This window comes from Homo sapiens, chromosome 13 (genome assembly GCF_000001405.40).
Source record: "Homo sapiens chromosome 13, GRCh38.p14 Primary Assembly".
Taxonomy (NCBI): Eukaryota; Metazoa; Chordata; class Mammalia; order Primates; family Hominidae; genus Homo; species Homo sapiens.
The window spans coordinates 86,352,365-86,366,056 of NC_000013.11; the positions used below are offsets into that span (position 1 = coordinate 86,352,365).

General features: G+C 41.5%; 4 annotated features.

The window, feature by feature from the left end:
* Window positions 5,586–6,416: an enhancer, noted in NCBI's record as "NANOG-H3K27ac hESC enhancer chr13:87010205-87011035 (GRCh37/hg19 assembly coordinates)". NCBI's record gives its function as "activates a minimal SCP1, AML or CMV promoter by ChIP-STARR-seq in naive H9 embryonic stem cells {active_cell/tissue: H9 hESC(naive)}" and the evidence as "EXISTENCE:reporter gene assay evidence [ECO:0000049][PMID:30033119]".
* Window positions 10,838–11,337: an enhancer, noted in NCBI's record as "OCT4-NANOG-H3K27ac hESC enhancer chr13:87015457-87015956 (GRCh37/hg19 assembly coordinates)". NCBI's record gives its function as "activates a minimal SCP1, AML or CMV promoter by ChIP-STARR-seq in primed H9 embryonic stem cells {active_cell/tissue: H9 hESC(primed)}" and the evidence as "EXISTENCE:reporter gene assay evidence [ECO:0000049][PMID:30033119]".
* Window positions 11,338–12,337: an enhancer, noted in NCBI's record as "OCT4-NANOG-H3K27ac hESC enhancer chr13:87015957-87016956 (GRCh37/hg19 assembly coordinates)". NCBI's record gives its function as "activates a minimal SCP1, AML or CMV promoter by ChIP-STARR-seq in naive and primed H9 embryonic stem cells {active_cell/tissue: H9 hESC(naive and primed)}" and the evidence as "EXISTENCE:reporter gene assay evidence [ECO:0000049][PMID:30033119]".
* Window positions 12,896–13,434: an enhancer, noted in NCBI's record as "NANOG hESC enhancer chr13:87017515-87018053 (GRCh37/hg19 assembly coordinates)". NCBI's record gives its function as "activates a minimal SCP1, AML or CMV promoter by ChIP-STARR-seq in primed H9 embryonic stem cells {active_cell/tissue: H9 hESC(primed)}" and the evidence as "EXISTENCE:reporter gene assay evidence [ECO:0000049][PMID:30033119]".

Consider the following 13,692-nt stretch of genomic DNA (forward strand, 5'->3'; position numbering starts at 1 on the left):
AGCTTTTCGGACCAGAATTCTGCTCTTCCCATAAAGGAAGAGTGAAAAAAGTTAAGGTTATGGGTTTACATTTTACATAGATAATATTAACCCTTATTACCATAAACTAAAATCTCTTACTAATCAAAATTATATAAACAATTATTGGAATCAGACTAAGACAGCAATAAAAAAGACTCATTTTTTAATCAGAAAAAGAGTGATTTAGTGGAGCATAATTCATATCTGTTACTGCACATATAAGACCAAATCATATTCATATCAAGTTGATTTTTTGGAACAAATTTATTTTTTGATTTATTGGCTTTATGGATATGTATGTACATAGATGTGTGTGTGAGTTAACCTTTTTTCTTTTCTTTTCTTTCTTTTTTTTTTTCTTTTTGAAACAAAGTCTCACTCTTTTGCCCAGGCTGGAGTGCAATGGCGTGATCTCAGCTCACTGCAACCTCCGCCTCCTGGGCTCAAGCGATTCTCCTGACTCAGCCTCCAGAGTAGCTGAGATTACAGGCTCCTGCAATCACACCCAGCTAATTTTTGTATTTTTAGCAGAGATGGGGTTTCATCATGTTGGCCAGGCTGGTCTTGAACTCCTGACTTCAAGTGATCTGCCCACCTCAGCCTTCCAAAGTTCTGGGATTACAGGCATGAGCCCCCGCACCTGGCCAGTTAACCTTTTTTCTATTGGTCTGCTCTATAAAAGTTTGCTACTGATATAAGGATATATAATAATAGAAATTCTAATTGATTTAATATATTAAATTTTAATACATACATAATTTTACTGTCTAGAAATCTGAATTTAGTATTTTATATTAATTATGAATTTACTATGTTAAAATGTCTGTGAAAATACAGTCACAAATATTGTTGATTATTCTACTACTATTTCATTGTTACTTGGATGAAAATAGTCATGGCATCATTCTGTAATGTAGGACGTGTTTAATCTTCATTAGCACCACATGCAAATTTGCCATGGAAACGCCTGATCAGACAAGAGTACAAGACTCTAAAAGTTTTAAATCCCCATAGATTTTAACAGTTTTCTCCTCTCCTGCAAGGTCATACTTATTCTGAAAATTAAGAAATATATTACCTAAGGAATTGATAGACATCATATAGTCTAGTCACTTTCATACTAAAAGGTTTAATTTCTTATGAAATTAGAAACTCTCACAAAGACTAAAACCAACAGAAGAGATATATTCAAGCTAAGTTAATAAAAATGCCCTACAGCTGTAATCTGTAAGATGGGGTCTGATGGGAATGAAATATGTCACTTTACACTGTATTGCAGTACTCATATCCTTTGAATTTTTAAAGTTAAAACAAAACCTAGCCTAAAACTTCACATTTGAATGTCAGTAGGAGACATTTTAAATCTTTTATAAACAATACATAATTTCTTATTTCTGTATAGAGTCAAAGCTTTTAAATACAATAACTTTCAGCTAATTTATTATTAAGCTGTTGTTTTCATCAGAGTTACCAAGAAACATAAACCACTGATATGGCTCTGATGAGTGTAGGACACCAGGGTTCTTAGTCCTCATGCAGGTTTAAATAAAATGACACAGGCACATGTGGAATGGTTTTAAGGAGCAGAGAGTTTAACAGGCAAGAAGGGGCAAGATGGAAGGGAGAAGGAAGAAGCTCCCCTGTACAGAGACAGAGGGAGGGGCGCTCCAAAGCCAAGAGAGGGAACCCCAAGTAGGGTGGAAACCAGCCAGGTGTATATATAGAGGCTGGAGGAACCAGTGTCTGATTTGCATAGGGCTCAGGGGATTGGTTTGACCAGGCATGTCATTCATATAGCCCTCGAAAAAGCTGGCCTTCTCACCCTAGCCTTTTAATAGGCAAATGTAGGGCACCATGATGTTCTACACACGTGGGGATATGTGAGGGCCATCATGTTACCAGGCCCATGTTGGGGAAGGGCAAGAAGGCTGCGGGGATCCCCATGTTGGGTGGACCCAGTTTCTAATGGTCTGCATTTGCATATCAAAGATTGCCTGCCTGACTCTTAAGAGCAGAGGCTTTACAAGAAACTTTTCCAGAGATGGTTTAAAAAACGAAAACTTCTCAAGGACCCCTTTTCCTCTCTATCTGCCTAAAATAATTTCTTAATAACTCCTACATCACCACTACATTTAACATTAAATTGCCATTACTACTTAAAACTAATGTATTTCTATCATGAACTTTTCCAGTAATGATGTTGTAGGGAGCCTTGAAAATGCAAACACATAATTTAGAAGGAATTTTTTAAAAAATGTTGTTCTATTATCCAATCTACAAGTATATTCTGATTGTTCATTAAATATAGACAGGACTCCGACTGATGTGGTCATGTCACTAGTTGGGGAAAAATTGTATTTGGGAAAAAACACCTATAGTTGTACATATCCAATGAGATAACTTTCAAATCACTGAAATAATTACTTCTAAAGAGTCTGTTTGATTTTAAGGAGTTTCCATCATTTTATTTAGATAGTTAATGTTGCATATAGAAGTTTACAAAATGTCTAAAAATTTATTTACATAGTCATTCAAATTTTAGATGTGTTATTGGCAATAATTACCCACAGTAAATTTCTTGGAAAGCTGCTTTACATAAATAACAAGGTCATCCTTGGTTTATTGTTCTACTTTCACTGCCGCCTAGTTATTTTGGTCTGCTGCAACAATATTTTATAAACTAAAATACTTATAAACAACAGAAATTTGTTTCTCACAGTTCTAGAGGCTAGGAAGTCCAAGATCAGTGTGCCAGCAGATTCAATGTCAAATGAGGAGCAGCTCTCTGATTCATAGAGGGTGCTTTCTAGTTGTGTCCTTACATGTTGAAAGGGACAACTGAGCTCCTTTGGTTCTCTTTTATACGGACACTAATTGCATTCCTGAGGGACTTGCCCTCATGATCTAATCCCTCCCCAAAATCCATCTCCTAATAACGTCACATTGGTGATTAAGTTTCAACAAATTTTGTGGGAAAATAAACATTCATATTCAGTCCATTGCACACTGTCTTAATATTACTTGTTTTGGGGGATATTTTTTTCTTTGAAATAGGATCTCACTCTGTCACCTGGGCTGGAGTGCAGTGGTACAATCACGGCTCACTGCAGCCTCAATCTCTTGGGCCATCTTCCCACCTCTGACTCCTAAACTGCTGAAATTACAGGCATGAGTCACCATCCAGCATAACTTGTTCTGTTATTTGTTTGTTTGTTGGTTGCTTTTTGGGTTTTTTTTTTTTTTTTTTTTACAGGAATATAAATGTTTATTTATCATTTATTTTAAACTTTTAAGTTCAAGGACACATGCAGGATTATTACATAGGTAAACATGTGTCATGGAGGTTTGTTGTACAGATTATCTCATCCAGGTATTAAGCCTAGTACCCATTAGTTATTTTTCCTGACCCTGTCCCTCCTCCAAACCTCTACCCTCTGATAGGCTACAGTGTGTGTTGTTCCCCTCTGTGTGTCCATGTGTTCTCATCATTTAACTTCCACTTACAAGTGAGAACATGTGGTATTCAGTTTTCTGTTCCTGTGTTAGTTTTCTAAGGATAATGGCCTCCAGCTCCATCCATGTCCCTGCAAAGGACATGATCTTGTTCTTTTTTATGGCTGCATAGTATTCCATGGTGTATACGTACCATATTTTCTTTATCCAGCCTATCATTGATGGGTATTTAGGTTGATTCCATGCCTTTGTCATTGGGAATAGTGCTGCAGTGAACGTATGTGTGCATGTGTCTTCATGAAAGAATGATTTATATTCCTGTAGGTATATACCCAGTAATGGGATTGCTGGGTTGAATGGTATTTCCCTCTTTAGGTCTTTGAGGAATCGTTACATTGTCTTCCAAAGTGATTGAACTAATTTACACTCCCACCAACAGTGTAAAAGCATTCCTTTTTCTCCACAACCTGGCCAGCATCTGCTGTTTTTTGACTTTTTTTAGCCAAAGGTCATGTGTTTTTTTTTATTTTTTGCTGGAATCTAAGAATTATATAGCCAGTGATGGGTGTGACTATTTTAGACACTGTGACTCAGGGAAAGCACAAAGTGGTATCTTCCTCAGCACGTACAGGAAGGACACTGTGGAGGAAATAACAAGTGAAATACCCAGTAAAAATTAGAGGAAGAATAGGAAGGTTAGTATTTATGAAGGAGAGAGAGCAAAGTGGTAGCATATTAGAAGCAGGGAGTAGGGACAGATCATGTAAGGCTTTGTAGTTCAATACAAAGCCTTGCTATTACACTCTAAGTAAGATAGAAGTCTTTGGAAGCTTTTGAGGAGAGTAATATGATGTGACATTTTTATAAGTATTTGTTTAGATGTATATCGAGATTATTTCACTAATCAATAAAAAGTTGATATTTAAAGTATAATGGGATAAAGATGAAAACAGGAAGAGAAGCAACTGCAGCAGTCTAAGGAAGATAAAATGGTAGAATAGATAACAAGTTGAAACTCAGTTTCTGCAATCATGCTATTAGTAAGTGTAGAACTGTCCAGGACACATCTGGTGGGAGAATGTTTGTGAATGTTTTTGTTGTATTTGAGGTAGAGTGGAGTGATAGATAACAGTAGGTATAACCCATGAAAGATCTCACAAACTGTCCTTAGGATGCTGGATAAGAGAGTTCCCTTTCTACACCACCACCAGTTGAGAATCCACATGCTATTTTTTGCCACCCTTGTCTAATATTACCCACCAAAAAGTATTGCTTTAAGCTTCAGTGTATAGGCACCCACATAAATATTTCTTATCGGTATCCACAGGGAAGTAAAAGAAAAATTGATTTAGGAAGCTTGACTTGGACTTATGTATACAGAATCCTTCAGGGCTAGACTGCAGGAACTTGTATATTTATGTAGAGCATTTCCAGTGTTGCTTTTCTTCATGGAATTACTTCAAAGACTTTTTGAACTTCAACAAATTACATAAGTGAGGGCCTACTTTTGGATGCTATAGTCTGTTCCACTGGCATGTCATGTAAGCAGTAGTAACCTCTTATTTATCACCTAATCACAATAGCTTAGTGTGCTGCTAAATTAAACTCACTAGAAAAAAAATCAGTTGATCCTATAAGAAGTTAGTCCCAATTTCTATTGAGATAAGTGATCAAAGAGACTAGGTTCCTGTTCATAAAGATGCACTTTGGAGAGATAATTTAGTGACTGGGGAAAACAAAAGAGTAGGACCTTTCATAAAAGGAGGGAAAACAAAGAACAATGAAAATAACTGAAAAACAACAACAACAACTGAACACCTGTCTCATGTTCTAGCTGTCATGCTTGTTCACAGGATGAACTTATACTTTACTAGTTAACATTGATCAATACAAGATTTTTTTCTAGTTACCTAGCAAGAGCCAAGCAGTAGCTCTGAAGGAGTGAATACTACCATATCTATGGCTTGTTACCAAGGAAGCAAACATTTGAATATTCTACTTTGAAAATCCTGTGTCGTACATGAGGACTCACTTGGCTGTTTATGTCTGTCCACTGAAGCCCTGGATGTACCATTCCCATTTTTAAAAAAGCATAAATTCTAAGAATTCTAATTTGGGGTTGCAAATATGATTGCATAACAAAGGATGCTAAAAATTTCTTTTTTTAACCAGAAAATTAGTTATCACAAGAGGTCACTTAGCAATAGAAAATCACATTAAGTATGTTTAAGTTATGATGTATTTAATCCAACCAACAAAACAGGGCAATGTTGCAACCCTAAGAACACTGAAACTGAAACATTTAGACTTAAGATTTGATGCTGGACTCTGTCAGGCCTCTGAACCCAAGCCAAGCCATCGCATCCCCTGTGACTTGCACGTATATGCCCAGATGGCCTGAAGTAACTGAAGAATCACAAAAGAAGTGAATACGCCCTTTCCCACCTTAACTGATGACATTCCACCACAAAAGAAGTGTAAATGGCTGGTCCTTGCCTTAAATGATGACATTACCTTGTGAAAGTCCTTTTCCTGGCTCATCCTGGCTCAAAAACACCCCCACTGAGCACCTTGCGACCCCTACTCCTGCCCGCCAGAGAACAAACCCCCTTTGACTGTAATTTTCCTTTACCTATCCAAATCCTATAAAACGGCCCCACCCTTATCTCCCTTCACTGATTCTCTTTTGGGACTCAGCCCGCCTGCACCCAGGTGAAATAAACAGCCATGTTGCTCACACAAAGCCTGTTTGGTGGTCTCTTCACACGGACGTGCATGAAATTTTGCGCTGTGACTCGAATCGGGGGACCTCCCTTGGGAGATCAATCCCTGTACTCCTGTTCTTTGCTCCGTGAGAAAGATCCACCTATGACCTCAGGTCCTCAGACCGACCAGCCCAAGGAACATGTCACCAATTTTAAATCAGGTAAGCAGCCTCTTCTTACTCTCTTCTCCAACCTCTCTCACTGTCCCTCAACAACTTTCTCCTTTCCACTCTTCAATCTCTCCCTTCTCTTAATTTCAATTCCTTTCATTTTCTGGGAGAGACAAAGGAGACATGTTTTATCCGTGGACCCAAAACTCCGGCGCCTGTCACGGACTGGGAAGGCAGCCTTCCCTTGGTGTTTAATCATTGCAGGGACGCCTCTCTGCAATGGGTGCAATTATACACCCACGTTTCAAGGGTGTCAGACCACACAGGGACGCCTGCCTTGGTCCTTCACCCTTAGCGGCAAGTCCCGCTTTTCTGGGGAAGGGGCAAGTACCCCAACCCCTTCTCTCCTTGTCTCTACCCCTTCTCTGCTTTTCTGGGAGAGGGGCAAGTACCCCTCAACCCCTTCTCCTTCACCCTTAGCGGCAAGTTCCACTTTTCTACGGGGCAAGAACCCCCAATCCCTTATTTCCACGCCCCAACCTCTTATCTCTGCCCCCCAATCGCTTATTTCCGCACCCCAACCTCTTATCTCTGTGCCCCAATCCCTTATTTCTACACCCCAACCTCTTATCTCTGCACCCCAATCCCTTATTTCCATGCCCCAACCTCGTATCTCTGCACCCCAATCTCTTATTTCCGTGCCCCAACCTCATATCTCTGCACCCCAATCCCTTATTTCCGCACCCCAACCTCTTATATCTCTGAGCCCCAATCCCTTATTTCCACACCCTGACCTCTTATTTCTGCGCCCCATCCCTTATTTCCACGCCCGACCTCTTATCTCTGTGCCCCAACCCCTTTTCCCACTTTTCTGGAAGGTAAGAACCCCCGAACCCCTTCCCTCCATTTCTCTACTCTCTCTTTTCTCTAGGCTTGCTTCCTTCACTATGGGCAATCTTCCACCCTCCATTCCTCCTTCTACTCCCTTGGCCTGTGTTCTCAAAAACTTAAAACCTCTTCAACTCACACCTCACCTAAAACCTAAATGCCTTATTTTCTTCTGCAATGCCGCTTGACCCCAATACAAACTCGACAGTAGTTCCAAATAGCCAGAAAATTGCACTTTGAATTTTTCCATCCTACAAAATCTAAATAATTCTTGTCGTAAAATAGGCAAACGGTCTGAGGTGCCTGACGTCCAGGCATTCTTTTACACATCAGTCCCTTCCTAGTCTCTGCGCACAGTGCAACTCGTCCCAAATCTTCCTTCTTTCCCTCCCGCCTGTCCCCTCAGTACCAACCCCAAGCGTCGCTGAGTCTTTCTAACCTTCCTTTTCTACAGACCCATCTGACCTCTCCCTTCCTCCCCAGGCTGCTCCTCGCCAGGCCAAGCTAGGTCCCAATTCTTCCTCAGCCTCTGCTCCTCCACCCTATAATCTTTTTATCACCTCCCCTCCTCACACCTGGTCCAGCTTACAGTTTCCTTCCGTGACTAGCCCTCCCCCTCCTGACCAGCAATTTACTCTTAAAAAGGTGGCTGGAGCTAAAGGCATAGTCAAGGTTAATGCTCCTTTTCTTTATCCCAAGTCAGAAGCGTTTAGGCTCTTTTTCATCAAATGTAAAAATCCAGCCCAGTTCATGGCTCGTTTGGCAGCAACCCTGAGACGCTTTACAGCCCTAGACCCTAAAAGGTCAAAAGGCCATCTTATTCTCAAAATACATTTTATTACCCAATGTGCTCCCGACATTAAATAAAACTCAAAAAATTAAATTCCGGCCCTCAAACCCCACAACAGGATTTAATTAACCTCGCCTTCAAGGTGTACAATAATAGAAAAAAGTTGCAATTCCTTGCCTCCACTGTGAGACAAACCCCAGCCACATCTCCAGCACACAAGAACTTCCAAACGCCTGAACCGCAGCGTCCAGGCGTTCCTCCAGAACCTCCTCCCACAGGAGCTTGCTACATGTGCCGGAAATCTGGCCACTGGGCCAAGGAATGCCCACAGCCCAGGATTCCTCCTAAGCCGCGTCCCATCTGTGTGGGACCCCACTGAAAATCGGACTGTTCAACTCACCTGGCAGCCACTCCCAGAGCCCCTGGAACTCTGGCCCAAGGCTCTCTGACTGACTCCTTCCCAGATCTTCTCGGCTTAGCGGCTGAAGACTGACACTACCAGATCGCCTCAGAAGCCCCCTAGACCATCACGGACGCCGAGCTTCGGGTAACTCTCACAGTGGAAGGTAAGCCAGTCCCCTTCTTAATCAATGTGGAGGCTACCCACTCCACATTACCTTCTTTTCAAGGGCCTGTTTCCCTTGCCTCCATAACTGTTGTGGGTATTGACGGCCAGGCTTCTAAACCTCTTAAAACTCCCCAACTCTGGTGCCAACTTAGACAATACTCTTTTAAGCACTCCTTTTTAGTTATCCCCACCTGCCCAGTTCCCTTATTAGGCTGAGACACTTTAAATTATCTGCTTCCCTGACTTTTCCTGGACTACAGCTATATCTTATTGCCGCCCTTCTTCCCAATTCAAAGACTCCTTTGCGTCCTCCTCTTGTATCCCACCTTAACCCACAAGTATAAGATACCTCTACTCCCTCCTTGGTGACTAATCATGCACTCCTTACCATCTCATTAAAACCTAATCACCCTTACCCCACTCAACGCCAATATCCCATCCCGCAGCATGCTTTAAAAAGATTAAAGCCTGTTATCACTCGCCTGCTACAGCATGGCCTTTGAAAGCCTATAAACTCTCCTTACAATTCCCCCATTTTACCTGTCCTAAAACCAGACAAGCCTTACAAGTTAGTTCAGGATCTGCGCCTTATCAACCAAATTGTTTTGCCTATCCACCCCGTGGTGCCAAACCCATATACCCCATATACTCTCCTATCCTCAATACCTGCCTCTACAACCCATTATTCTGTTCTGGATTTCAAACATGCTTTCTTTACTATTCCTTTGCACCCTTAATCCCAGCCTCTCTTCGCTTTCACTTGGACTGACCCTGACACCCATCAAGCTCAGCAAATTACCTAGGCTGTACTGCCGCAAAGCTTCACAGACAGCCCCCATTACTTCAATCAAGCCCAAATTTCTTCATCTGTTACCTATCTTGGCATAATTCTCATAAAAACACACGTGCTCTCCCTGCCAATCGTGTCCGACTGATCTCTTAAACCCAAGCACCTTCTACAAAACAGCTCCTTTCCTTCCTAGGCATGGTTAGCGCGGTCAGAATTGTTACACAAGAGCCAGGACCGCACCCTGTAGCCTTTCTGTCCAAACAACTTGACCTTACTGTTTTAGCCTAGCCCTCATGTCTGCGTGCAGCGGCTGCCACTGCTTTAATACTTTTAGAGGCCCTCAAAATCACGAACTATGCTCAACTCACTCTCTACAGTTCTCATAACTTCCAAAATCTATTTTCTTCCTCATACCTGATGCATATACTTTCTGCTCCCCGGCTCCTTCAGCTGTACTCACTCTTTGTTGAGTCTCCTACAATTACCGTTGTTCCTGGCCCAGACTTCAATCCGGCCTCCCACATTATTCCTGATACCACACCTGACCCCCATGACTGTATCTCTCCGATCCACCTGACATTCACCCCATTTCCCCAGATTTCCTTCTTTCCTGTTCCTCACCCTGATCACACTTGATTTATTGATGGCGGTTCCACCAGGCCTAATCGCCACACACCAGCAAAGGCAGGTTATACTATAGTACAAGCCACTAGCCCGCCTCTTAGAACCTCTCATTTCCTTTGCATCGTGGAAATCTATCCTCAAGGAAATAACTTCTCAGTGTTCCATCTGCTATTCTACTACTCCTCAGGGATTATTCAGGCCCCCCTCCCTTCCCTACACATCAAGCTTGAGGATTTGCCCCACCCAGGACTGGCAAATTAGCTTTACTCAACATGCCCTGAGTCAGATAACTAAAATACCTCTTAGTCTAGGTAGATACTTTCACTAGATAGGTAGAGGCCTTTCCTACAGGGTCTGAGAAGGCCACCACAGTCATTTCTTCCGTTCTGTCAGATATAATTCCTCAGTTTAGCCTTTCCACCTCAATACAGTCTGATAACAGATGAGCCTTTATTAGTCAAATCAGCCAAGCAGTTTTTCAGGCTGTTAGTATTCAGTGAAACCTTTATATCCCTTATGGTCCTCCGTCTTCAAGAAAAGTAGAATGGACTAAAGGTCTTTTAAAAACACACCTCACCAAGCTCAGCCACCAAAAAAGGACTGGACAATACTTTTACCACTTTCCCTTCTCAGAATTCAGGGCCTGTCCTCGGAATGCTACAGGCTACAGCCCATTTAAGCTCCTGTATAGACGCTCCTTTTTATTAGGCCCCAGTCTCATTCCAGACACCAGACCAACTTAGACTGTGCCCCAAAAAACTTGTCATCCCTACTATCTTCTGTCTAGTCACACTCTTATTCACTGTTCTCAACTACTCATACATGCCCTGCTCTTGTTTACACTGCCGGTTTACACTGTTTTTCCAAGCCATCACAGCTGATATCTCCTGGTGCTATCCCCAAACTGCCACTCTTAACTCTTGAAGTAAATAAATAATCTTTGCTGGCAGGACTATGCTGAATCTCCTAGGCACTCTCTAATCAGATATCCTGAGTCGTCCCAATTCTTAGACCTTTTATACCTGTTTTTCTCCTTCTGCTATTCCATTTAGTTTTTCAATTCATACAAAACCGTATCCAGGCCATCACCAATCATTCTATACAACAAATGTTTCTTCTAACAACCCAACAAGATCTCCCTTCAGCTTAATCTCTCCCACTCTAGGTTCCCACGCCGCCCCTAATCCCACTTGAAGCAGCCCTGAGAAACATCACCCATTCTCTCTCCATATCACCCCCCAAAAATTTTCGCCACCCCAACACTTAAACACTATTTTGTTTTATTTTTCTTATTAATATAAGAAGGCAGGAATGTCAGGCCTCTGAGCCCAAGCCAAGCCATCGCATCCCCTGTGACTTGCACGTATACGCCCAGATGGCCTGAAGTAACTGAAGAATCACAAAAGAAGTGAATATGCCCTGCCCCACCTTAACTGATGACATTCCACAACAAAAGAAGTGTAAATGGCTGGTCCTTGCCTTAAGTGATGACATTACTTTGTGAAAGTCCTTTTCCTGGCTCATCCTGGCTCAAAAAGCAACCCCACTGAGCACCTTGGGATCCCCACTCCTGCCTGCCAGAGAACAAACCACCTTTGACTGTAATTTTCCTTTACCTACCCAAATCCTATAAAATGGCCCCACCCTTATCTCCCTTCACTGACTCTCTTTTCGGACTCAGCCCGCCTGCACCCAGGTGAAATAAACAGCCATGTTGCTCACAGAAAGCCTGTTTGGTGGTCTCTTCACACGGACGCGCATGAAAGTCTGACTAAATATTGGGTAAGAGGGACAATACACTTCTAGATTATCCTGTGTAGTTGACCTCTTTCTAACCGTACCATCTGAAATTTTACCAATGGTTTATTGCCACCTTTCTTCTGAACTTCAGCTGACCCATACAGTTGTGTAGGCAACATTATGATTAACTGACCAAGGAGATTCACAACTCCAAAAGTTCACAGTTTTGTGCAGGCATTTATGCTCTCCTGAGGTGAAAAAGGCTTTGGAAGAGAGAGTGCTAAGAAGATATTTCAATGATGCTGAGAGAAGCTGTGAATAGATGTTTATATTGTAGACTGTGAAAAGCACAGAATTATTTATCATTATTTGTGTGTTGTGCTTACGCTTTGATATTATTCCCATTTGTTGATTAATTTAATGCTGAAAGTGTATAATATATCAGAAATTACTCTAGAATGTTAATGAAATTTACTTTACTTTTTAATGAGCTGATTAGAAACTCAGTATGTTCATCCTGAAAGTCTTTTTAAATATTAGTAAGACTGTAATGTGGTATGCATTTAAAAAAAACAAAAACACCTATAGTTGTATATATCCATTGAGATAACTTTCAAATCATTGAAATAATTACTTCTAAAGAGTCTGTTTTAAGGAGTTTCCATCATTTTATTTAGATAGCTAATGTCGCATATAGAAGTTTACAAAATGTCTAAAAATTTATTTATATAGATTGTCATTCAAATTTTAGATGTGTTATCGGCAATAATTATCCATAGTAAATTTCTTGGAAAGCTGTTTTACATAAATAACAGCTAGACTTTACTGCTTTATAAACCCAAACAAAGAAGCTGACTATAATGTATTCAATCTGGCTAATATAATTAGTATTTTCAATGGAGGAGTATTGTGTTGTTACATTTGTAGTGTGTAAAATATGTATTTATTTATTTTATTTTATTTATTTGTTTGTTTAATTTTGAGACAGGGTCTTGCTCTGTAGCCCAGGCTGGAGTGCAGTGGCACAATCTCGACTCACCACAACCTCTGCCTCCCGTGTTCAAGCGATTCTCCTGCCTCAGCCTCCTGAGTAGCTGGGAGTGGGCTCTTAATAAAAAGATGAAGTTTGGCCTCTTTCTCTCTCTGTTGCTTCCATTTGCTGCCATGACTTAAAGTTGGAACTTACATTAAAAGAGAAGCAGAGCATAAAAGTTTGGAAAATTCACAACCTGGCCATGTGATAGAGCAGGAAAAAAGCATTTCAGGATAGAAAGAATCCAAGCAGACTGTGGAGCAACCACTTGTTAGAGAGATTAACATGACTGTAAAAGGACCAAGTGCTAAAATCGAAGATAATTGGAAAAAGACTCAAAGGCATTTCAGAGATCTTTCTAAGAAACCCCCACCCCATCAAAGGCACAAAGGCATAGGAGGAAAGAATGCTTTCAAGTGCCAGGCCCAGAGTGCCACCCTTCTGCTTAGCCTCAGGACACCATTCTCTGCATCCTGGCCACTCCAGCCTCAGCCTCAGCTCAAAGGGGTGCAGGCACAACCTAGGCCACAGCTCAGGAGAGCAAAAGCCATAAGGCTTGGTGGTTTCCACAAGGTGTTCAGTTTTTAGATGCTCAGAATGTAAGAGTAGAGGAGGCTTGGTGGCTTCCACCTGTATTTCAGAGGATATATGGAAAAACCTAAGTGTCCACGCAAAAGCCTGTTTTAGGGATAGAGCCTCCACAGAGAAACTCTACTAGGGCAATGCTGAAGGGAAGTGTGAGATTGGAATACCACATAGAGTCCCTACCAGGGTACTTCTTAGTGGAGTGGCAGGAAAGGGGAATCACCTTCCAGAACCCAGAATGGTAGATTCACTCACAGCTTGCATCCTTTGCCTAGAAAAGCCACAAGCACTCAACTCTAAACCATGAGCGCAACCACTTGGTCTA